A 24,767-nucleotide genomic window follows, 5' to 3' on the forward strand; every position below is an offset into this window, starting at 1 on the left:
TTGGCCAGGCTTGTCTCAAGCTTCTGAGCTCGAGTGATCTGCCCTCCATGGCCTCCTAAAGTGCTGGGATAACAGGTGTGAGCCACCACGCTCAGACTACCCTGTTCTTTATGCAGTTTTCTCTTTTGGAATGCTCTTTCTTACTCCGTCTTTGTCAAATTTCTTTGTAGTTTCAAGGGTCATGTTAAATGCTATCTTCCATGAGGACATCCTGGTTTACTAATCTGAGTAGGATTTCTCTGTTTTCACCCCTCTCTCACAATGTCATTTGTTTATACTGCTGTAGGGCACATACCTTTTTCTGTTATTTGCTTTTATTATTTCTGTATGCCATTCCCTTCCAAATAAATGGGAACTGCCTTCAAAGCAGGATCTTATCTTACTTATTGTATCTGCTATGGCTCCTAAAACAGAGCCTGCTACAGAGTGGGTGGCCAATAAATATTTGTTGAATAAATGAAAACAAGAGGTACTCAATAAGCATCTTTTATAGTGAACTAATCACAAAATTTTCCAGTCATTGAAGAATCTAGATATTTTTTGAGACTTCATAGGACCCACATGAGTGCTGCAAATTTTGATCAACTTCTTGAGATCTTTTTCCTTTTGGAAGTCTCTTCTGAGGCAGTCAGTCCCCAGTAAGGAGAATGAATGACACTGACTGAGAGCAGCAGGCAGAGCATCAGATTGGGGAACAGTACACCTCTCCACCATCCTCTCTCAGATCACTCCTAAGAATAGGCAGGCCAGCTGAGTTAACTTGATGGTCCAGGGAGAGATGTCATTTCTATGTCTCTCTTACTGAATGGGAACATTTGTTTCCTTTTAGCCTTCCCAACCCCTCTGTTCAGGGCGGAGCTTAAGCCGGGAAAGAGCCCTTGGATTTCTAGGAGCGTGGTTCTGAGAAGGAAAAAAACCTTTTAATGTGAAGAATGTGAGCCCTTTTAAATTATTAGGCCCAGAAAGGCGTTTAAAATGTAACAGCAGTTACATCTCACTCTCCCTTGAGCCAAATAATTATCTCTTGAAGATACTTATTATGTAGGCTCTAGACTGATGCTAAATAACTATAATGTCATATACCTTACAGTGTAAGAATATACATCCAATCACAAAGCAATGTTACTTCTGTTAACCAATGAGAATTCCTGATAACATTTCTAATTGTCCTTTTTTCTTTAAAAATTTAAGCCTCTATTTTGTTCTCGGGAGCACCCCCCTCAAGGAAACTTGGAAGTGTGTCCTGGGCTGCAGTCCTCAACTGTGGCCCAAACTCTCCGTATTAATTTTGCCTCAGCTTATTCCTTTTAGGTCAACATTTCTGGTGCTGTTAGCAAGATTCACAACAAACCCATCCCGTCCTCTAACATTTTTCCCCAACTTGACCCCTGGTCAGGCTTCAAAACCTTTGTGTTCTTCCTATTCTGAGAGAAATTATTTGATGTAAAGTGGTGGATGTTACTAAAATTCCAGACCTAATTCTTCCACTCTTTGATTAAAGGTCTAGACTTTACTTGGGCTATTCTTTCAAACTCTCTCTAGAACAAAGATTTTTGGTATTTATCTTGTGGGTAAGAGATTTGGGTTGTAGGGAAAAAAACTGCCTTTTTTCTGCCTCTCCCTCAGGGCCAGAGATTCAGGTTAAGGATTTTTCCATCTCTGTCTCACAGCATAAGGTTCAAGTCAAAGGGCTGGCAGTTGGGCACCTGTGGTCTTGTTTTCCATAGCATACTTTAAAAATTACCACTGCACAGCCAATCACTAACCAATGTCATTTTTATAAACCAATAAAAAATTGTTTTTAATTTTTTAATATTTTTAGTTTTAGTTTTTGTGGGTACATAGTAGGTGTATACATTTGTGGGGAATATGGGATATTTTAATACAGGTAGGTATACAGTGTGTAATAATCATATCAGAGTAATTGAGGTATCCATCACCTCAAGCATTTATCCATTGTGTTACAAACAGTACAATTATACTCTTTTAGGTATTTTAGAATGTACAATTAAATTATTATTGACTATAATCAACCTGTTGTGGGGTCAAATATTAGATCTTGTCCATTCTTTCTATTTTTTATACCTATTAACCATTCCTTCTCTTCTGCCCCCCTCCCTCCCCATTCCGCCCCCGCCCCTGGCCCCACCCTGCTATCCTCTGGTAACTGTCTTATTCTCTATCTCCATGAGTTCAAGTGTTTTAATTTTTAGCTTCCACAGATAAGTGGGAACATGTGAAATTTGTTTTTCTGTGCCTGGCTTATTTAACTTAACATAGTGACCTACAGTTCCATCCATGTTGTTGAAAATGACAGGATCTCATTTTTTATGGCTGTTTAGTATTCCATTCTATATGTGTACCATATTTTCTTTATCCATTTGTCTGTTGGCAAACACTTGGGGTGCTTCCAAATCTTGGCTGTTGTGAATAGTGCTGCAATAAACTTGGGAGTGCAGATATCTTTTTGATATGCTAATTTCCTTTATTTTGCTTATATACCTAGTAGTGGGATTGGTGGATCACATGGTAGCTCTAATTTTAGTTTTTTGAGGAACCTCCGAACTGTTCTCTATAGTGGTTGTACTAATTTACATTCCCACCAAAAGCATATGAGGTTGCCCTTTTCTCCATGGCCTTGCCAGCATTTGTTATAGCCTGTCTTTTGGATAAAAGCCATTTTACTGGGATGAGATAATATCTCATTGTAGTTTTGATTTGCGTTTATCTGATGATCAATAATATGGAACATCTTTTCTTATATCTGCTTGCCATTTGTATGTCTTCTTTTGAGAAATGTCTATTCAGATCTTTTTCTAATTTTTAAATCAGATTATTAGATTTTTTTCCTGTAGAGTTGCTTGAGCTCCTTAAATATTCTGGTTATTAATCCCTTGCCAGATGGGTAGTTTGCAAATATTTTCTCCCATTCTGTGGGTTGTCTTTTCACTTTGTTGATTGTTTCCTTTGCTGTGCAGAACTTGATGGGATCCCATTTGTCCATTTTTGCTTTGGTTGCCTGTGTTTGTGGGGGTATTGCTCAAGAGATCTTTGCCCAGTCCAATGTCCTGGAGACTTTCTCCAGTCCCATGTCCTGCAGACTTTCACCAAAGTTTTCTTCCAGTAGTTTCATAGTTTGAGATCTTAAATTTAAGTCTTTAATCCATTTTGATTTGATCTGCCCACCTCAGCCTCCCAAAGTGCTGGGATTACAAGCATGAGAGCCACCATGCCCGGCCTTTCATTTGTAACTTGTACATGAGATTACTTTGTCATTTTCTTTTTCAGAAGCGTTTGCTGTTGGCATATAGAAATGCTATTGATTTTTGTATGTTTATTTGGTATCCTGCAACTTTACTGAATTTACCAGTTGTAATAGTTTTTTGGTAGAGTCTTCAAGTTTCTCCAAATATAAGATCATATCTTCTGCAATCAAGGATAATTTGATGTCTTCCTTTCAAATTTGGATGCACTTTATTTTTCTTTCTCTTGTCTGATTGCTCTAGATAGGACTTCCAGTAATATGTTGAATAATAGTGGTGAATGTGGGCATCCTTGTGTTGCAGATCTTTGAGGAAAGGCTTTCAGTTTTCCCCCATTCAATATAATACTAACTGTGGATATATCACATATGGCTTTTATTATATTGAGGTATGTTCCTTCTATCTCCAGTGTTTTGAGGGTTTTTATGATGAAGTGATGTTAAATTTTATAAAATGCTTTTTCAGCATCAATTGAAATGATCATATTGTCTAACATATGGCCTATCCTTGAGAATGATCTTTGTACTGAGAAGAATGTGTATTCTGCAGCCATTGGATGAAATGTTTGGTCAATATCTATTAGTTCCATTTGGTTTATGGTGTAGATTAAGTACAATGTTTATTGGTTGCTTTTCTGTCTGAATGATCTGTCCAATGCTAAAAGTAGGGTGTTGAAGTCTCCAGCTATAATTGTATTGGGGTCTCTCTCTTTAGCTCTAATAATATTTGCTCTATATATCTGGGTGCTCCCCTGTTGGGTGCATATATATTTACAATTGTTATATCCTCTTGCTGAATTGACCACTTTATCATTATATAATAACCTTCTTTGTCTCTTTGTGTAATTTTTGTCTTAAAATCTATTTTGTCTGATATAAGTATAGCTACCCCTGCTCCCTTTTGGTTTCCATTTGCATGGAATATCTTTTTCCATCTTTTTAGTTTCAGTCTATATGTGTCTTTTTAGGTGAAATATGTTTCTTGGGGGCAACAGATCATTGGGTCTTTTTTTTTAAAATCCATTCTGCCACTCTGTGTCTTTTAATTGGCCAGTTAGTCCATTTACATTCAATATTATTAATGATAAGTAAGAACTACTCCTGCCATTTTGTTATTTGTTTTCTGGTTATTTTGTGGTATTCTCTTTCTTCTTTCTTTTCTTCCTGTTTTCCTTTTAGTGAAGGTGATTTTCTGATCTGATTTTCTCAGGTGGTTGTTTAATTTCTTGCTTTTTGTTTTTGTGTATTTATTGCATGTTCTTTTTTATTTGAGGTTACCGTGAGGCTTGCAAATATTATCTTATCTCATTATTTTAAACTGATGAAAACTTAGCACTGATTGCATAAGCAAAGAAAAAACTAATAGTATCTCTACACTTTAACTTCATACCCCTGCTTTTTAACTTTTTGTTGTTTCTATTTGTATCTTATTGTATGGCCTATGTCTTAAAAAGTTGTAGTTATTATATGTTATTCATCTTTTCATCTTCTATTTCAAATATGAGTCATTTACACGCTGCAATCAGTGTTATACTATTCTTTGTTTTTCTGTGTACTTATTATTACCGGTGAATTTTTTTACCTTTGAATGATTCCTTATTGCTCATTAATGTCCTTTTTTTCAGATTAAAGAACTCAGTTTAGCATTTCTTGTAGGGCAGGTCTGGTGTTGATGAAATCCCTCAGCTTTTGTTTATCTGGGAAAGTCTTCTTTATTTCTGCTTCATTTTTGAAGGATATTTTCACTGGATACACTATTCTAGGATAAAAGCGTTTTTCCTTTAGCACTGTAAATATGTCATGCCACTCTCTCCTAGCCTATAAGGTTTCCACTGAAAAGTCTGCTGCCAGATGTATTGGAGCTCCATCGTGGGTTATTTGTTTCTTTTCTCTTGATTTTAGCATCCTTTCTTTATCCTTGGGCTTTGGGAGTTTAATGATTAAATGCCTTGAGGCAGTCTTCTTTGGATTAAATCTGCCTAGTGTTCTAAAACCTTCTTATACTTGAATATTAATATCTTTCTCTACGTTTGGGAAATTTTCTGTTATTATTACTTAGAATAGGCTTTCTACTTCTATCTCTCTCTCTACCTCCTTTTAAAGGCCAGTAACTCTTAGATTTGCCCCTTTGAGGCTGTTTTCCAGATCTTGCAGGTGTGCTTTATTCTTTTTCATTCTTTTTTCTTTTGTCTCCTCTGACTGTGAATTGTCAAATAGCCTGTCTTCAAGTTTACTAATTATTTCTTCTGCTTGATCAATTCTGCTATTAAGATACTCTAGGCTGGGCGTGGTGGCTCATGCCTGTAATCCTAGCACTTTTGGAGGCCGAGTTGGGTGGATCACCTGAGGTCAGGAGTTGGAGCCCAGCCTGGCCAACATGGTGAAACCCCATCTCTACTGAAGATACAAAAATTATTCAGGCATTGTGACACATGCCTGTAATCGCAGCTACTTTGGAGGCTGAGGCAGGAGAATCGCTTGAACCCGGGAGGTGGAGGTTGCAGTGAGCTGAGATCATGCCACTGCACTCCAGCCTGAGCAAAGAGTGAGACTCTGTCTCAAAAAACAAAAACAAACAAAAAAACCTCTGATGCATTCTTCTGCATTTTTCAACTCCAGAATTTCTGCTTGATTATTTTTAATAATTACAATTTCTATCTAAAATTTATCTGATAGGATTCTGAATTCCTTCTCTGTGTTATCTTGAAATTTTTGACTTTCCTCAAATATGAATTCCTCAAATTTTGAATTCTCTGTCTGAAAGGTCACATATCTCTTTCTCTCCAGGATTGGTTCCTGATGCCTTATTCAGTTTGTTTGGTGAGACCATGTTTTCCTGGATGGTCTTGAAGCTTGTGTGTATTCATCTGTGTTTGGCATTTAAGAGTTAGGTATTTATTGTAGCCTTTGCACTCTGGGCTTATTTGTACCTGTCCTTCTTGGGAAAGATTTCCAGATATTCTAAGAGACTTGGGTATTGCAATCTAAGTTTTTGCTCACTGCAACCATATCTGCATTAGGTGGCACCCCCAAGCACAGTAATGCTGTGGTTTTTGCAGACTCGTAGAGGTATCACCTTGGTGCTCTTGGATAATACCTGCAAGAATGTTACAGATTACCAGGCAGAGACTCTTGTTCTTTTCCCTTAGTTTCTCCCAAATGAACAAAGTCTCTCTCTCTTCTTTGAGCCACCTGGAGCTGGGGGTGGGGTGACACAAGCATTCCTGTGGCCACCAACACTGGGATTGCACTAGATTTGACCTGAAGCCAGAACAGCACTAGGCCTTGCCCAAGGCCCACTGTAACCACCACCTCGCTACTGCCTATGTTCGCTCAAGGCTCTAGGGCTCTATAATCAGCAGGTGGTGGAGCCAGTCAGGCTTATGTCCTTCCTTTAAGCATCCCAAGTTCCCCCAGACCTGGGATGGGTCCACAGATGCTGTCTAGAGGCCAGGGCCTGTAGTCAGAATCCTTAGAAGCCTACCTGGTGCTGTATTCTACTGCAGCTAAGCTGGGACCAAAACCACCAAAGTCTTTCCCATTCTTCTTTCCCCTGTCCCCAGGCAGAGGAGTCTATCCATGTTTCTACAACCACCACAGGCCCACGGGGAGTACTGTCAGGTTACCACCAATGTTCACTTAAGGACCAAGAGCTGTTTAGTCAGCTTGGGGTTAATGCTGCCAAGCCCAGGACTCACCCTTTAGGGAAGTGGGCTTACTTCTTGCCCAGGGATCCAGAGATCCATCCAAGAGCCAAGGCCTAGAGCTGGGGACCCCAAGAGCCCTCTTGATGCTCTTCACCGTGACTGAGCTTGTACCTAAGCTCAAGAAAAAGTCCCCCTTACTCTTCCCTCTTCTTTTCTCAAGCAGATGGGGTCTCTCCTCATAGCCACCACAGCCGTAAATGTGCTGGGTTACATGTGAAGCCAACATGTCTCAGAGTCTCACCCAAGGCCCATGGCATGTAATATCTGATTACCACTGCTGATTATTCAGGGTCCAAGGGCTCTTTACTCAGCAGGTGATGAATCCTGCCAGGACTGGGTCATTTCCTTCAAGGCAGTGGATTCCCTTCTGGCCCAGGGTGTATCTAGAAATTTCATCTGGGAGCTAGAGCCTGGAATGGGGGCCTTATGACTCTGCCCAGTGCTGTATGCTACTGTGGCTGAGCTTGGATCTAAGTTGTAAGATAAAGACCTCTTTGCCCTTCCTTCTCTTCTCCTGAAGCGGAAGGAAGGGATCTCTTTTTGAGCTGCAAGCTGCACTACCTGGGATCGGGGGAGGGGTGGCTCAAGTACTCCCTTAGCCACCCCGGCTGGTGTCTCACTAGGCTGCACACTCTCCAAGTCCACTGGCTCTGAGCCCAGCACAACACTAGGACTTGCCTAGGAGTTGTAGTCCTTGTGGCATAGATAGCTGTTCAGGTTTATTTAGTACCCCAGAGTACTTCAGCCCACAGTGGCAAGGCTTGCCGAAACTCAAGTTCCAGCCACTGGGATGGGTGATTCTTTTTTGGTTAAGGCTGGACCCAGTGCTTCCTCCATGGGTGCAGACTGAGTTCTGGCTGGCGTGGGCGGCACTGCATTCCAATGCAAAGTCCCACAATCACTGCATTCTCCCTCTCCCATGTATACAGATTCCCTCTCTATGTATCACATGGCTGCTGCTCAGGGGATGGAGGAGGGGTGGTGTCGACAATTCAAGATTATCTTTTCCACCCTCTTCAGTGCCTCTTTTAGCGATGTGAAGTTAAAACCAGGTACTGTGATTGCTCACCTGATTTTTGGTTCTTATGAGGGTGCTTTTCTGCATAAATAGTTGTTTAATTTGGTGTTCCTGTGGAGAGGACAACTGGTGGAGGCTTCTATTCAGCCATCTTGCCCTGCCTCGTCCCAATAAACATTTTTGACAAACAACTTTTGTAATCGCCCTTCTTCTGATTTGTCCTTTTTTCTTTAAAAGTGAACGTCTGTTTTATTTTCTGGAGGACTCCCCAAAGCAATTTGGAAGTGTGTCCAGGGCTGCAGTCTTCAACTTTAGCCTCAAAAAACTCTGTATTAATTTTGTCTCAGCTTCTTACTTTTAGGTTGACATTTCAGAAAAATGTTGCCTTGATTGGGTTTTTCCATAAAATAGTATGAACTGATATGATAGGGAAAAGGGGTGAAGAAAGTAATCATACAAGTGAAGGGAGATAATTAGGAATGTTGTCAGCAATATCAGAGTGAACTAGATCTTTGTAGAAATAGAGGATCTCAGGGCTCTGTCATTTGAACAAACTCTTTGTCTCAGGACCAGAATGTCTGCTCCTATGGAATGTGCACTTGCCTTAATTGCAAACTAAATTAAAGATGATTCTAGTAGTACTTTCCACTTTCTCTTTGTTTTTTCACTTCACTAAGTTGCCGTATCAGAAACGTACACTATACTCTAATGGAGCAAAGAAAACATTCCTGGCCCAGACCTCTTTCTTCAGCTGTGAGGGTTTCACAGCTGGGTTCACTTTATGATTGTTTGTTGTTGTTGTTGTTGTTTGGAATGGAGTCTTGCTATGTTGCCCAGGCCAGTCTCAAACTCTTGGACTCAAGTTATCCTCTCACCTTGGCCTCCCAAAGTGCTGCGATTACAGATGTGAGACACCATACAGGCTCACTTGTGATTCTTTACTCACCTGTATAGTTTGGGTTCATACACTTTTCTGTACTTATGTTATATTTCAATAATAAAGTAAAAAAAAACAATATTAGGCTGAGCAGTAGAAAGGTCAAAACTAAAGAGCTAAGTGTAGTGAGTTAGAAATTGGGGCCAAGTATTCTATTGTTATAGAATAGAGCACAAAGGAATAAATAGATGATAAATATACAAGATAAATTAAGAAACCTGAATGAAATGTCTGCATGTTTTGAAGTCTCTTTAATGATATGTGGTTACCTAAGGTGGGTCTGGAGGAATAAAATAGAGATAATGAAGCAGATCCTTAAATAAATAAAAGAAATAACACCTGAAGAATGAAATGAGCTCTCAGATTGAAAGTTAACACTATGTGCCAAACAGAATGAAACAACTTCACAAATGCACACAAATGTATGACATTTTGGCTCATTCAAGAAAAGAGAAAATTAAAAAGCTACTCTAGATAATTAAACTGAAAATCCACAGATTTTTCATCTGCAATAATGGATGAAAAAAGATAATCAAGCAAAATCTTCAATATTGAAGGAAAATAACTTTTGAGTTTAGAATAAAGATTTGGCCATAGGTGGTGAGGGTTTCAAGAATTTATGGTATAGACTACACCCCATAGTCCAGTCAAACAAGTATTCTCTGCTGCTGGTAGAGTCCTCTTTGATAGAGGTGTACATGTGATTCAGGGATGAGGCGAGACAAACTCAGTCACACATCCCATGACTTGGCCCCTACTTCCTTAGGCATCCTAGCAAACAGGCTGGCTCACCAGGGACACCTATGAGGTGGGTGTTGATTTTAATCTAAAAGACACAATCCTGAACACCAAAACCTTGAATGTTGAAATTCTGAAAAATAAACATCCCCAAACTATAATTCTGGAAAAAATTTAAAAAAAAATTAAAAAGATATTTATTTACATTCTTAAAATGGGATTTTTTTGAGAAACATGTAAAAACATGTCAGAACACTTCCTAGGCCACTTTACCCAGTAAAATGGGTAATAATAACATACATAATTTTGCAAGCATAAACACTCAGGTATATACCAATGACAGTTGCATGGGTATAACAGTTATGAGCAGATAAACTATATTCATAAATAGGTCAAAAAGGAAAATGTCTAAACACATATCACTATAGTGCTAGTTGTGTACACCCACTTTTATAACTGCAGTCATCTGAAATACCTTGATGAACAACCTAAGTGTTTTGATGAGATTGATCATAAATCATGATGTGTCACCACTGGTTATACAGTCATCCAAAGAGCTGAGATCTTGAGAAATTTTCTCTTTCACTGAAGATTTACAAAAAGAATAGTGCTTCATTTATTGAGGAAGTTTTAACATTTTCACATATACACACAGTGTTTACACACAAAGTCAACATTGTGATAATACACTTCCATGAAGTCAAATTTGCAAAAAAAAAATTGCATAAAACATTAGAATTCTCTATAAGTTTCTACATAATTCTTAGTTCCAATATTGGAAATAATGTGAAGATTAAATACAGAGCATTAGAAATTGTAAAAAGCAGTGTTGACAATTTAAAATAGTGAAAAAAACTAAAATAAAGAAAAAGAAAAAAACTAAGGAGAAAATATGACTTACGGAAAAAACACATTTCAAGGATAGATTTTGGGGAATTGGACAGTCCATAAGAGCTAGCCCTTCATGAGACAACCATTCTGTGATAGTGATTTCTTGGATTTAAGATATTAGGAAGTTTGGACTTCAGAGATTTTGATCTTTTGGGATTTCAACATTTGGGAGTATGCTGTTTGGAACTTTGTCTTTTGGGACACCAGAACTGGAAAGCAAACTTCCCCTAGATGGCTGCTGTCCAAGTTCCACATATTCTCACCAGCAAGGCCATTGCCCTGATGGGAAACTCCTATTGCTACAGGACTGGTTAAGTATTTCCGTTCTGCCCTAGCTTCCCCATAAATGCAAACGCAGTACAAGCACAAGCTCTCTGTCCCAGGGCACTATCCATGCTGCAGCCTGCTTTGTCTGTTTCAAGCACAACTCTCTGTAGAGACTAAGGGCATTCTGGAGAGCCTTTTGCACAAGTGCTCTCCAACCAACCATGCATAATCCATATCCCAAATTGATAGTGTCATTTGTCCCACCTTCTGGCCCAATAAAGGGTAAATCTTAGTTAGGCTACTCTAATTGTAGTAATCCCATTCCTTTTGACAGTAAGTGGTTATAGAAAGGGCTGGTTCACTTAGTCCTGACCAAATAGATGTGAGAAGTCTGCCCAGAGGCTTATGTGAAAGGTCTCCTTTTCTTTAAAGAGATCAAGAGAGGAAGAAGCAGAGTCTGCTTCCACTGGACATTGTCATGACTGACTGTGATTCCTGGGACTGTGACATCCATTGCCAAGAGAGGACTTAACCTCAGAACAGAATAGAAAAGTGGAGGATGGCAGGGTGGGATGATGAAAAGGACCTCTCCTTTACGTGATACCTTTGTGCATGGAGCTGCCTTTTAAAAAACATTTGAGTATGGATTTCTCTGTTACTTGCAACCAAAAGTTTTCTAATGGAAACACATAAGACTTAAAAAATTTACCATACCCAGACCTTCTCACAGAGAGTTTACTCCAGAAAGAAGAAAAATAAATTCAGTAATAAGAAATGGGATACAGGAACACTTGTGGGCAAAGAAATGAGTGAAACTTAGTGTTACGTATAAATAAGAATGAATGCTGGGAGTGGTGGCTCATACCTGTAATCCCAGCACTTTAGAAGGCTGAGGCAGGAGGATTGCTTGAGCCCAGGAGTTCGAGACCAGCCTGGGCAACATAGTGAGACCCTGTCTGTATAAAAATAAAAAAAAAATCTGGGTATGATGGTACATGCTTATAGTCCCAGCTACTCAGGAGGCTGAGGCAGGAGGATTGTGTAAGCCCAGGAGTTTGAGGCATCGGTGAGCCATGATTGAGCCACTGCACTCCGGTCTGGGTGATGACAGAGCAAGACCCTGTCTCAAAAAAATTTAAAAAGATAAAAAATAAAAATAAATGAGAATGAATGTAAAGCAAACATTTGTGAGCAATTAACTATAATATCCTACATAATTAAATAAGTGCTAAACAGATTTTAGAAAATGTGCTATGGTAAAATAAAGGAATTATGTTAGAGGTTCAAAGAAGGCTTTATAGATGCTATGTTTAGTTATATGTGTCCATTTGAGTGGGCCACCTGATGCACAGATATCTGGTTAAACATCATTTCTGGGTGTGTCTATGAGGATGTTTCTGGAAGAGATGAACATTTAAATAAATAAATAAATTTGATTAAGGAAGATTGCCTTTCCCAACATAAATAAATATCATTCAATGCAACTGTTTCAAAAAATAAAAAAAGATAAAACCTAAAAGTAAATAAATAAACAAGAATGAATATAAAGCAAACATTTGTGAGCAATTAACTATAATTTTCAGTTGAAGGCCTGAGTAGAGCAAAAATATAGAGGAAAGAATAATTCTCTCTCTCTGCACCTGACTGCATGAGCTGGGACAGTAGCATCAGTCTTTTCCTGTCTTTGGACTGGGACTTACATCACCTGCCCTCCTGGTTCTCAGGCCTTTGGACTTGGACTGGAACTTATACCATTGCCCCTCTAGTTTTTAGGACTTTGGACTTTGACTAGAACTTATGCCATTATTTCCCAGGGCTTCAGACTCAGACTGGCATTATACCACTTGCTTTCACGAGTCTTCAGCTTTCAGATGGCAGATCATGGGACTTCTGACTCCATAACCACATGGGCAGATTTCTCATAATAAATTTATGTGTGTGTGTGTGTGTGTGTGTGTGTGTGTGTGTGTGTGTGTGTGTGTATAATGTCCTATTGGTTCTGTTTTTCTGGAGAACATCAACTAATACAATGGAGGAGGCTGCATTCAAGCTAAGCCTTGAAATTTGGTGAGATTTCAGAGCAGGGGAAGGGGTCTCAAGTCCAAAGTGCTCTTTTGCCTCTGATATGCTTCAGAAATAAAAGGGAAAATGTTATGGTACTTATGTGCTCAAATGTAGGACATACATATCTCTTAGTGTAGCAACTCTGGTTTCTCTATATCCAGAAAAAACAACAATGCTAGAAAAGGTCAAAGGAAGGGTACTTTTAACCATGTGGGGAGCAGAGACACTTCTGGGGATATGATGATAGATCAGAAAATGAAGGACTTTCCAACTGTATTGCCAAAAAAAAAACAAAAACAAAAGCAGGAAGGCTTTCTGAGAGACTTGCTAAATCTCAGTCGACTGTGGAAATGGTAAATATAAATTAGTTCACCAAAGAGATTTTTATTTTAATAGAGCTAGTAAATGGATGACTGAAAAACCTACTGAATTAAGAGTAAAAAAAATTAAAATAAAAACAAATAAGCAAACAGAAAACCCGTTATTTTCCTAGTTGTGCAACTCATTAGCTGTGTAACTTTGTTTTGTTTTGGTAAAGACGATGATATTGTTTGGTTCTGTGTCCCCACCCAAATCTCATGTTGAATTGCAATCCTCAGTATTGGGTGAGGGACCTGGTGGGAGGTGATAGGATCATGGGGGCAGATTTCCCTTTTGCTGTTCTCGTGACAGTGAGTTCTCATGAAATCTTGTTGTTTAAAAGTGCATAGCACTTCCCCCTTTGCTCTCTCTCTCCTGCTGGCCATGTGAAGATATGCTTCCCTTCCCCTTCATTTTCTGCCATGATTGTAAATTTCCTGAGTCCTCCCCAAGCCATGCTTCCTATACAACCTGTGGAGCCGTGGGCCAATTAAACTTAATTTCTTTATAAACTACCTGGTCTCAGGTAGTTCTCTGTAGCAATGTGGGACTATAATGGACTAATACACATGGGGTCTCACTTTTTGCCCAGGCTGGTCTCCAAATTCTGGCCTCAATCAGTCCTCCCACCTTGGCCTCCTAAAGTGCTGGTATTACAGGTGTGAGCCATCACGTCTGACCCTAACTGTAACTTTTGCAAATTAATAAATCTCTCTGTATCTCAATGACCTCATTGATAAAATGTCAACTCCTTGATCTACTTTACAGGGTTGTCTTGAAGATCTTAGAAGATAACTTAAGTGAGGGGGGCTGGAGAAAAAATTTAGACCCTATGGAGGCATATAAGGAATCTGCTCTTTTAGAACATATTTTTGAAATTTGGTGAGATTGGACTCTTACGAGGAGTGATTGAGAAGCTGCACTCTCAGAGAGTGAAGAACTCAATTCCAGGTGACTACAGCACAGGATGCAGGAAGCCAGTAGGTTTGGTTTAGGCAAATTTCAAGAAGAGCAGTATGGGCATGGAACCAGGCTGGAGGTGGGATTGGAGACACAGATAGAAAGAAATTATTGGATTTTTTATAGTTTGGGAGCTATGCTCAGACTTGCAGCTTTGGTCAGGAGGCTGCAATTAAGGGTGAACTTAGAAGGGAAAAACGAAATGGAAGAAAGAGCTTAATCCTTTTTTGCAGCTTTAATGACGTAATTTGAATGTTTAGACCATGAGCTTCCACCATACCATAGTCAAATTGTTCATGTACTTTCCTATATTTAGGGAGCTTGACATAGGTGGTGCATGAAGTGTCTCAAGAGGAAGCAGAGAATAAGATCTCAGTTACACAGTCTGGGCAAGAATACAAGAAAATCACCCAAAAAACTGCGACCATCAGAGGAGCCTCCATGTTAGAGTCTCTGGGCCTCTGTCTCTTCAGAATCCACCCTGGAAACAGTGTGCATCAAAACACTTTGGAGTTCTTAGAGGCACTTGGAATTATCTGCTGGCTTCCCACCTTTAAAGAGACTGGGCTAGTTAAATATCCCCCTCTGTTCATTTTTTTAAATTTGTGAGTTTATTTTTTGATTATTACTCTAATTGGGGGCTAACATTAACATTTACTGGGCAAGTGTCAGGGAGGTCAACATTATGCATGTTTGAGATAGTCCTTTGCCATGAAGAATTGTTCTGTGTCCCATGTGACTTTTGTATGTCCAACTGGGCAGTTGTGAATTCAGAAAACCTCGTGTATAATTATTCAAACTCAAAGCCTAACTCCATTTTACATGCAAACACAATGTATTTATTACACAGTTTTAATACACCCTAAATTTTCTAGGAATAAAACTTTGTACTTTGTTCAGAACTTTTCTTTTTTTAAAGTAAGTTGTTCATTGTTTTGGAAATTTGCATAACTGTTAGACAATTGTTCAAGGGCTTTAATTGTCTAAACAGCACATAAATCTTGGTTTGTATTTGTAGTTGCTGAATTCAAAAGCAATTTGTCATCTACAGCCAGCTTTTGACTGCTTCATTATGTCTTCCAATGTAGTTATTTCTAAGCATTTACATATTGAAATACATATTATTTTACTAAAAATTATTTTCTTTTTTTAACATTTATTTTATGCTTAAAGCATCATTTTGGCTTAAAAATTAATAGGTGTCTATAGGTTATATTGTCTGTGAATTTCATTTAAGAATAAATAAATGGAGCTTAATAAAATATTTGTTGTAAAAGGTGGCATTTGGCCCCATGAGGTTGAGAAATACTGGACAAAAATGTGATTGAAAAGGCAGGAGTTGTGAGCATAGGTTGTGCTAAATGCCCATTGCCTGTACATTGTACCTCTCCCCAATTTAACTGAGGGAAAATTACAACAAATATGTAGGTGAAGGGGGACCAAAAACAAAGAATGCTTTTGGGGTTAACCATAAGTGCTTCAATGTAAGATTTTCAGTCCTTTGGTTTTATGACAGGAGTTTGTCAGTTCACAATACCAGAAGATCTGAAAGAAAAATAAAAACAAAACCCAGAACCTCTTTGGGCTTCTCAGGCAATAGAGAAAGACTTCCACGTACTCAGAAGACCATCGTCAGTTAACAAAAGCCAGGTAAGACCAAAGAGACCTCTGCTTCCCTCTATGGAGATATAACAAACTCCAGACAACAAGGGCTATAAATAAGAAAAAAACAGATCAAAATTTTTATTCTTTACAAATAAAAGTTTTCCTTTTTTAGGAATGAAATTTTGATATACGCTAAAACACGGATGGACCTTGAAAATACTATGCTTAGAGAAATAAATCAGATACAGAAGGATGAATATTGTATGATTTCAATTTATATGTGGTACCTAGAAAAGTGAAATTCATAGAGAAAGAAAGTTGAATACATGTTAGGGTCTGCATGAAGGAAGGAATGGGGAGTTTATTGTATAATGAGTACAGAGGTTTTGTTAGGGATGATGAAAAGGTTTTGGGTATAGATAGTGGTGATGGTTATATAACATTATGAATGCATTTAATGGTACTAAATTGCACACTTAAGAATGGCCTAAATGATGAATACTATGTTATACATATTTTATCAGAATTTTAAAATTAAGTGAAAAACAAAGTTTTCCGTTTTTTAAAGCTCAACCTCCAAATACAGTTCTATTCCTGGAGTCTGTAGATTTTCTTTTTGCTTTCCTACTTACGTTCTTCCTTTCCTACTGTGTATGTTAAGCCATAAACACCATTTTATTAGGAGGGAAAGAGAACAAGAAAGCCCTGTGAAGGAAACTTTCACATCATTGTTTACTTTTAGATCTTCAAATGCTGCTCTCAAAGCAGAAAAGATGACTGTTTAACATACAATTTAACATACATTGAAGATTTATCATTCTTGAAATAAATTTTAATGAATTCAAAAGGCCTTAACACCCCTTTCTTGGATTGTCTTGCCCGCTATTCTTTTTGAAAGCTGTTTAATTTCTGAGAGCAGTTAGAGGCTGGAACTTGTGCTTGCCGAAACAATCATACACACGATCACTTGTTTTTTGGCAAAATAAGTTATAAAAATAAGGCAATCTGCTTCAATATTGAATTTGGGGGTTCGATATGAGTTTCTAGCTATTTTTAAAACTGAAAGTAGTTTTCTAATTATTATTTTTCCAGGTACATTTCCTTATGATCTTTCATCCTAAGAGCAGATTTCCACCATGTATCTAGATAATCAGGAAGACACAAGTATAAACTGGGTCTGTAAGTTCTTCTACCAGATTTGAAAGGTGATAGGCCAGGCTGATTCATCCTCACTGTGATGCACTTACTCATGGAGCTTCAATCTCTCCAGCCCCATCTGTGACTGAAGTCAGGGCTGCTGTGGGACACATTATATTTTTAGATCTCTTATTTTCTGGTTGAGAGACTACTTGGAATGAGACATCTATCTTCATAGTTCTATTACTCTGCAAATGAAAATACATGTCTATAAAATGTTAGTCAGGGCTGTTACATCTCTGTCCTGATAGTCAAGATGCCAGGAAGACCATTAAATATACATGGATGGGCAAACAGGTTGATGCTGAGTATTGCATGGAGCTGCCGACCTGGGCATTTCTATCACAGGTCAGAGGCCAACAGAAGCATATCACCCTCTAGATCATCTGGGTAGAGCAACAGAAACAAACAAAAAAAAAGAACCTGCTTTCTTGGAAACGTCAAAGTATTTTTTTCTTGTTTAATTTTATGGATACGGCAAATAATAGAGTCTTTGTATTTTATTGGAAAAGTTAATGAAGTTTACTTCTTTAGAACTCAGAGTGAATAATAAACAAAATTAAGCTGTCACTCTCCCTGGAGTACATCCAGTGCTGTCACATTAGGGAAACGTATTTCTTCTCATGAGAACATAGCACTTGATGGCTTGCGCAGGCTGAAAGAGCTGAAGGATGGAATAACATGATGCATTTGGAGCCACGTGTGATGGGAAAGACAAGCAGGAACCGCCTTTTAACTGTCTGTAATTTTAAGTACTAGAACAATGATTTTGGGGGCCACCCTATGTGTCACTGGGGATGCACTTAGCCCTGAGAGCCTCTCACAGGGAGAGGACAGGTGTCTGGGGTAGTGAGGGCAGGGCCGCACTTCTTGGTGAGGCAGTACTAAAATTAGAGGTGACTTTGGGGAATCTCTTCTGACCAAGGCATGCTTGGCCTGGACTGAGCAGATTTAATAAACTCACGGGAGGAGCCTCGTTAGCACAATAACAACACATCTCTCTCCTTCCTGGATTTCATATCTCTGCTGCTCCCTGCTTCTACTGACAGCTTCAGGGAGCAAAGTCATTGCAGAACACAAGGACTAACTGCCAGCAGCAGGAGAGGGGATGGAACCAGTTGGTCAAACACCCTAACCCAGAGTTTGGAAAGCTGTCCCCAAAATAGAGTCAGGCCTTTTGGGTAAACAAGTTAGCTCATTTTGAGGAAGACATATTTATGATCAAACATGACAGGTATAAAACGCTGGGAGAAACATCTTTATAGGCTATGAGAAAAAGTGGGACAGTTTACCCATGGGCATTAAAAACCCTTCTCTCCCCTTGTGGTTGTTGGCAGGAGATGGTTCTCACTGGCACGACCTGGTTGTACTGCCTTTCCCTCATCCCTAGTAAAGTTGCTCTGGACTCTGGCTGGCGCCCTGTTGGACAGTCACCACTGACTACATTTCAAGTGGCATATGGGGTACAGCTGGCAGGAGAATCGAGTTCTCTTGTGGTCAAGGAGCATTCAAAAGAGCAGGAGAAGGAACAGCCACGTCAAGGCCCTGGCTTGTCCATGGGATGTTCCTTTGCCAGGAACCATGGGACGCCCGACCCCCATACAAGGAAGGCCACATGGAGGAGCTGGCAGAAGAACCAGCCATCGGCAGACCAAAGGAAGCAGCTTCTGCGGGTTTTTGGAGTGGCCACACTGCCAGTGTTACACAATGTGATATGACGGGGGAAAAAAAGTGGTTTCTCATGCTCTTCCAAATTAAGATAGCATTTCTTTGACAAATTAGTAAAAAATAAGTTTTTTAGAGTGAAGAATGACCTGGAGTGATGTGCCTATTAGCTGATGAAATAAGAGACACATGAAAGTTTGAAATGGAAATGGATAAATTGCAGTTTCTTTTACTCGGCTCACTCTAAATGCTGAGACAGACAAGTCTGTTTCATCCTGGTCAAGAGCATGTGGTTTGATGGTCAGGGGATGGGCAAGGGAGTCAGAAAGTCTGGGTTGTATTCCCAGCTTTGCCACTGACTTACTGGGTGACCTTGACCAATAGTTGTACCCTCAGTATCTCCATCCAGAAAACAGGGATTTAATGACAGCCCCCAGAAAGGAATGTTTGAGCAGTTTCTAGGCATACAGGGCTCGATACTTTGAGGTCCCAGGCAGGCAAAGATGGCAAGACTTCCAAATTTAGTTTTCCTGCACAGGGAAGCATGGTTGAGAGCTTTTGGAAACAATTGGAGTAGGGAACAAAGTAAATCCCCATAACTGTCAAAGGCAACCTTTGATATATGGCTTCAAAAACTCTCAAATCTCCAAAGCCACCTTGTCACCTTCCAAAGTTACTTGCTATTGGACCCCGTAAATTTATTTAAAAACAATTTAAAATTAAATTCCATGACACTGAGTCATCTCCTGCCAGCCACTAAATACTAAGATGAAAATCTCTTGTGACATTTAACACAATGGCTGTTCAGAGGTCTTGCATTAGCTATTTTAAAGACTTTTATATGTTGGTTTGCTACCTTCCATAAGAACCTTAAGAAGACAAAACACACTTACACTTATTCTTCAGCCAGCAAACGAATAGCTCAGACTGGGCACAAGGACATTCATCTTTCGTTGGGTCTGATCTTTTGTTTGTCCTAAAGGGGTTCTTTCTTGTGAGAATCCAGGATGGTGCTGGGTAAACAGCAACTAACAGAGCAAGTGTCATGAAACTACATTCTGATCCTGGCATTTCCATCCTGGTGAATAAGTAATTTAGTCTCTAGGCATCACTTTTCCTATTTGCAAAAGAAGGGTGTGTCTCATAGCTTTGCTTTTGCTGCCATACAACCCTTCTTCCAAAAGAAATGTTATGTATCATTCTAGGATGAAAAAGCCAGAGGAGAGGGATCTCAGCCCCTCTTTCCTATGCTGACAAGTCTGGTCAGCAACTTTGTAAAACCCAGCATAAATACCACTGGTTAGTCCTTGAAGTCGTTTTTGTATATAAGAGAGTCTGTGGGTGAGAAGAGGGTGGAGGAATTCCGTATGTTTACAGCCAAGCAATGAAGGTTAGTGACTACTGTGCTGGATTGAGAGACGCCTATTTTTGGTTTTGGTCCAGTCAGTAAAAATAGAAGGTCTTAAAAGTTTGGATGAAAGCCACTTTGTAGTGTTCCTTTTGATGTGACCTTGCCTTATACCTACATAGAGTCGGTATAGTTACTCTTAGTTAGCTATAATACTCCATTTCTTAATCATTCTTGATATATGAAATTTATATTTTGTGCATAGAATTTTTTCCTCACATGAGTAGTTTCCTTTGAGGAAAACAAAACCCTGATAAAACAAAATATTTTCGGTATTTATGAGCTACTTTTTCCTCCAAGTAAAAACAGCCCTTTAATTAATTAATTAATTAATTAATTAAATTTTTTATTTAGTTTTGAGACAGAGTCTCACTCTGTCACCCAGGCTGGAGTGCAGTGGCATGATCTTGGCTCACTGCAATCTCCAACTCCTGGGTCCAAGCAATTCTCATATCTCAGCCTCCTGAGTAGCTGGGATTATAGGTATGTGCCACCATATATGGCTAATTTTTGTATTTTTAGTAGAGACAGGGTTTCACCATGTTAGTCAGGCTGGTCTCGAACTCCTGGCCTCAAGTGATCCACCCATCTTGGCCTCCCAAAGTTCTGGGATTACAGACGTGAGCCTCAGTGCCTGGCCAAACACAGCCCTTTAAAACTATGAAAGATATACCTGCTTACAGAAAAAATGATATAACATGTAAAGTAGGCCTGGCACGGTGGCTCAGGCCTGTAATCTGAACACTTTGGGAGGCTGAGGCATGCAGATCACTTGAGGTCAGGAGTTGGAGACCAGCCTGGACAACATGGCAAAACCCCGTCTCTACTAAAAATACAAAAATCAGCAGGGCATGGTAGTGCACGCCTGTAATCCTAGCTACTAGAGAGGCTGAGGCAGGAGAATTGCTTGAACCCAGGGGACAGAGGTTGCAATGAGTCGAGATCATGCCACTGTACTCCAGCCTGGGTGACAGAGCGAGACTCTGTCTGAAAAAAACAAAACAAAACAAAACAAAATTAAAAAAAAAAACACACAACATATAAAGTAGAAGGATAAATTCACCTGTAGTCCTAGCCACAAATAACTGCTGTTAACATTTTGACATATTTCTTTGAAGCTTTCTCTATGCATATACTCTCTTTACCGTAATAGAAAACCATTTTTGAGCTGCTTTGCCTATTGAGTAGCCATTCATTTATTCCTTTACCTCCTTAATAAACTTGCTTTCACTTTACTAAAAAAAAAACCGTTAAAAAATGGCTCATACATTTGAAAAAATGGCTTCATAGCTTGTGTAACTATATAGATAGTGAAAATACACACATTATTATTATTCATAGAGAAAAATAGATTTTATAATTTTTTTTTTGAGACGGAGTCTCACTCTGTCACTAGGCTGGAGTGCAGTGGCGCAATCTCAGCTCACTGCAACCTCTGCCTCCCAGGTTCAAGCGATTCTCCTGCCTCAGTCTCCAGAGTAGCTGGGACTACAGGTGTGTACCACTACACCCAGCTAATTTTTTTTTTTTTTTGTATTGTTAGTAGAGACAGGATTTCACAATGTTGGCTAGGATGGTCTCAATCTCTTGACCTTGTGATCTGCCCGCCTTGGGCTCCCAGAGTGCTGGGGTTACAGGCGTGAGCCACAGCACCCAGCCAAGATTCACTTTTATAAACAACAATGTGATGAACATCTATGTGCAAATATTTTAGTGTATGCATCCAATAATTTCTATTGATGATATTCCTTAAAGTGAACACCTTAGTCAAATTATACACACATTTTAATTTTTAATATTGGCCATCAGAAAGGTTGGTACAATCTATATTAGTAAAATGTGTTATCTGGCATGGAAATACAGAGAGGGTTTTGGGTTCTACTAGAAATCAGAATGGCACTGCCTATTATAAATCCTTGTTTATTGACTTTAAAATGCTTGGTCTTTGTTGGTAAAGGCCCAAACTGAATGCTCTGAAAGAATAGTTATTGACTAGAAAGACTCCTTGAAGAAAAATGTTTAGACAGCCACGTAATTGGATTCCCAGCTGGAATAGTGGGTTTCTAAGATTCACGACTATTTTAAAATTCAAGGAATACAGATCCCTTATCCTTGTTCATTGGGAATAATTTCCTCTGTCCCATTTTTAGGGGGCTTTAAATATTCACATGACTTATATTTGAAAATATGATTGGATACAGACAAAAGTAGAGTAAAATTGATGTATAGCAGTAAAATGGTTAAGCAGGAAACAATTACACCACAACCTATCCCTCTTCAGTTACAGTAGGCTCAAGAATGACTTGCCCCTGAAGGATGAAATTAAGTTGTTTAAGACCCTCACTTTGATTTTACTCAAGCAGCTAAGGAAGAAGTACTATTATTTTTGTACTGAAAATTGATGTACAGCACTGCACAAGGCTGGTCTGTCACTTGTGGTGACAGCACAGACAACGGGCCAGTTTGATCTCTAAAAAGTTAAGGTTGCAGGCAGGAGTCAGCATGGATGATACAGTTGCTATTCCAGATTCTGGGACACAGACACTCCAGGCAAGGAGGAAAACGAATTCTATGAAATATGGTAGGGGTAGTTTCAGCAGAAACTGTTCTATGTAATAAACACTGTTTGAGATACGTGGGTGACTGTTTCTTATTTCTAGAAACACTGCTGTCATTACCTCAAAATTTTATATGCTTTGCAGAAATTGGAAATATAAACCAAGGACTTCCAGTTTAACTTGAAACTTGTGACTCTTTTAATGATGGAAGTCAGTAAACATATTCACGAATAGCTACCCACAAATATTCAAACCACCCATCATTCTCTACTGAATACATGTAAAAGACAACAGATAAAGCCCAAGAAGTTGCTTTGTGACTGTAGATACATGCACTGTGAGTTATTAACACATTTAATGAAAAACTGAAGAGACTATGGCTCACTTGAAACAACCTATCAATCTGGAATTGCTTATAATGGGAAAGAAATATTTATAAATAGAATTAGACTTGGGCTTCAAGAAAACACATGCTATTATAAGGAAGAAATTGATTAATTATTGCTCTCTCTCCTTACTCCACCTCCTCTCCCCTTCTCCACCTCCTGGGATACAGGTTTAAGTTTAATCTGGGGCTTTAAATTAGCATTAGAAAAAACTTTTTGATGATGTGTACATTTTAACTACTAGGATGGGACTACAACAAAATATATAAACTCATTTCCCTAGACAATTTTAAACGATGAGATTGGTATAATTGGTGTGGGTTGGTTTGGCTTTGCTTAAAAAAGAGAGATGAATGAGGGGATTCCAAAAGCTTTTTCAGTCCCTTGAGTTTGTGACTGTACTTTGGGCTTTGCCTCATTGGACTGTTAGAAAGCCCTGGGCCACTAGTGATCACCTGTCATCCTGACGATAATCTCCACTGAGGAGAATGTTTGTTCTAATAATGAATACATAGGGCTCAGTTTCTACTTTCCTTAATTTTCCCAACAGCTACAGAGAGGTCTCTTGGTTCCTTAATAATATTATTTATTTTCTCTTCCTGGTGATATTACTGTGGCCTACTTGATTTTAAAGGCTTGGCTATACATTTTAAAAATTCATTAATGATGGAAAATAAAAAAGATACATTCATACCAAATAATTATGCCTAAGAAAATTCAAGCTTTCATTGTGTTTTAACCTGTTGGCCAGAGCTGGCCATTTGTATGTATTAAAAAGGCAGCTACCAACTATAATGACTGATTAAGGGACATACATCAACACCCCATTCCTCTTTGACCTCCATGTATCTGTCAAATTGGCTAAAGATCTTAACATTAGGATCATCCTTGAATAGCCATCTTAAGGATTTAAGAGTTTGAATTTACATGGGATAAGAAACATTTTACCTGGTTAATATAGGAGCTTGGCTAATTTACATGGATACCCCAATATCCCACTTATCTCTTAGCAGAGAGCAGGGCTCAGAGGGGAACTGAAAGTAAGAACAAAACTGAAAGGAAGTTGATAAAGAAAGACTTGGAACAGGAATTCCTGCCTAGGCCCAGTCCTGGATGCCTACAGAATGGCTCAAGGATGCTAGGGCTTACTTCTTATTACACCTTGAATGCCTAGCGCAGGGCCTGGCGCTGAATGAATGAATAAAGGAATGAATGTGTGGGTGTCAAGGTGAGAGGGTGTTTAATAAGTGTTGATGGTGGGGGCAGCCTCATAAAAATGACAGTAGATGGATGGGGGTTGCATGGGTGTATAGGGGATAAATTTTTAGAAATTTTTTTAAAGAGCAACTCTCAAGGCCTGGAATTTGTTTTGTGAACAGTCCCACAAAGCAGTTGCCTCTCACAGATTTACTGCATTTAGAAAAGTCCAGGTCCTCTTTCATGCTTTTCTCCCTGCACCCTAGCCCCAGAGTGTTAGCCATATTTTCTTCATGGCCATTGCATGGAACACCATCAATGAACTCAGCCTTTGTCCAGTAGACGGTGCTGTTGTACTCTGGCCCTGCTGCTGATGGCATCCTTCTTCCTCGTTAGTGTTTCATCACAGGATTTTATAATGAAAAGGTTCTCAGACATTTGGGGAAAGGCTTTTTTCCCCCCAAACTAGATGCAAAAATATCTTTTCACACGGGGCTCACCCCTCATGTCTTTTCAAAGAAGCACAGGAAAAAAAAAAGAAAATATT

At 39.1% G+C, this 24,767-nt stretch overlaps 1 long non-coding RNA gene across 4 annotated transcripts in view; it reads left to right on the forward strand.

Moving 5' to 3' along the window:
• The window catches only part of LOC105375410 (uncharacterized), an 86,586-nt gene that overhangs the window by 32,052 nt on the left and 29,767 nt on the right, over positions 1-24,767 (forward strand). For 3 of the 4 annotated variants that reach the window (XR_927779.3, XR_927777.3, XR_927776.3), the window contains exons 1-3: positions 13,985-14,195; positions 14,521-14,809; positions 15,721-15,854. This is a non-coding gene — a long non-coding RNA (uncharacterized LOC105375410). Of the gene's footprint in view, positions 1-13,984; positions 14,196-14,520; positions 14,810-15,720; positions 15,855-24,767 lie in introns of those variants that run through there. The other variant, XR_001745288.2, reaches the window with a different exon arrangement.

Source organism: Homo sapiens, chromosome 7, assembly GCF_000001405.40.
Source record: "Homo sapiens chromosome 7, GRCh38.p14 Primary Assembly".
Taxonomy (NCBI): domain Eukaryota; kingdom Metazoa; phylum Chordata; class Mammalia; order Primates; family Hominidae; genus Homo; species Homo sapiens.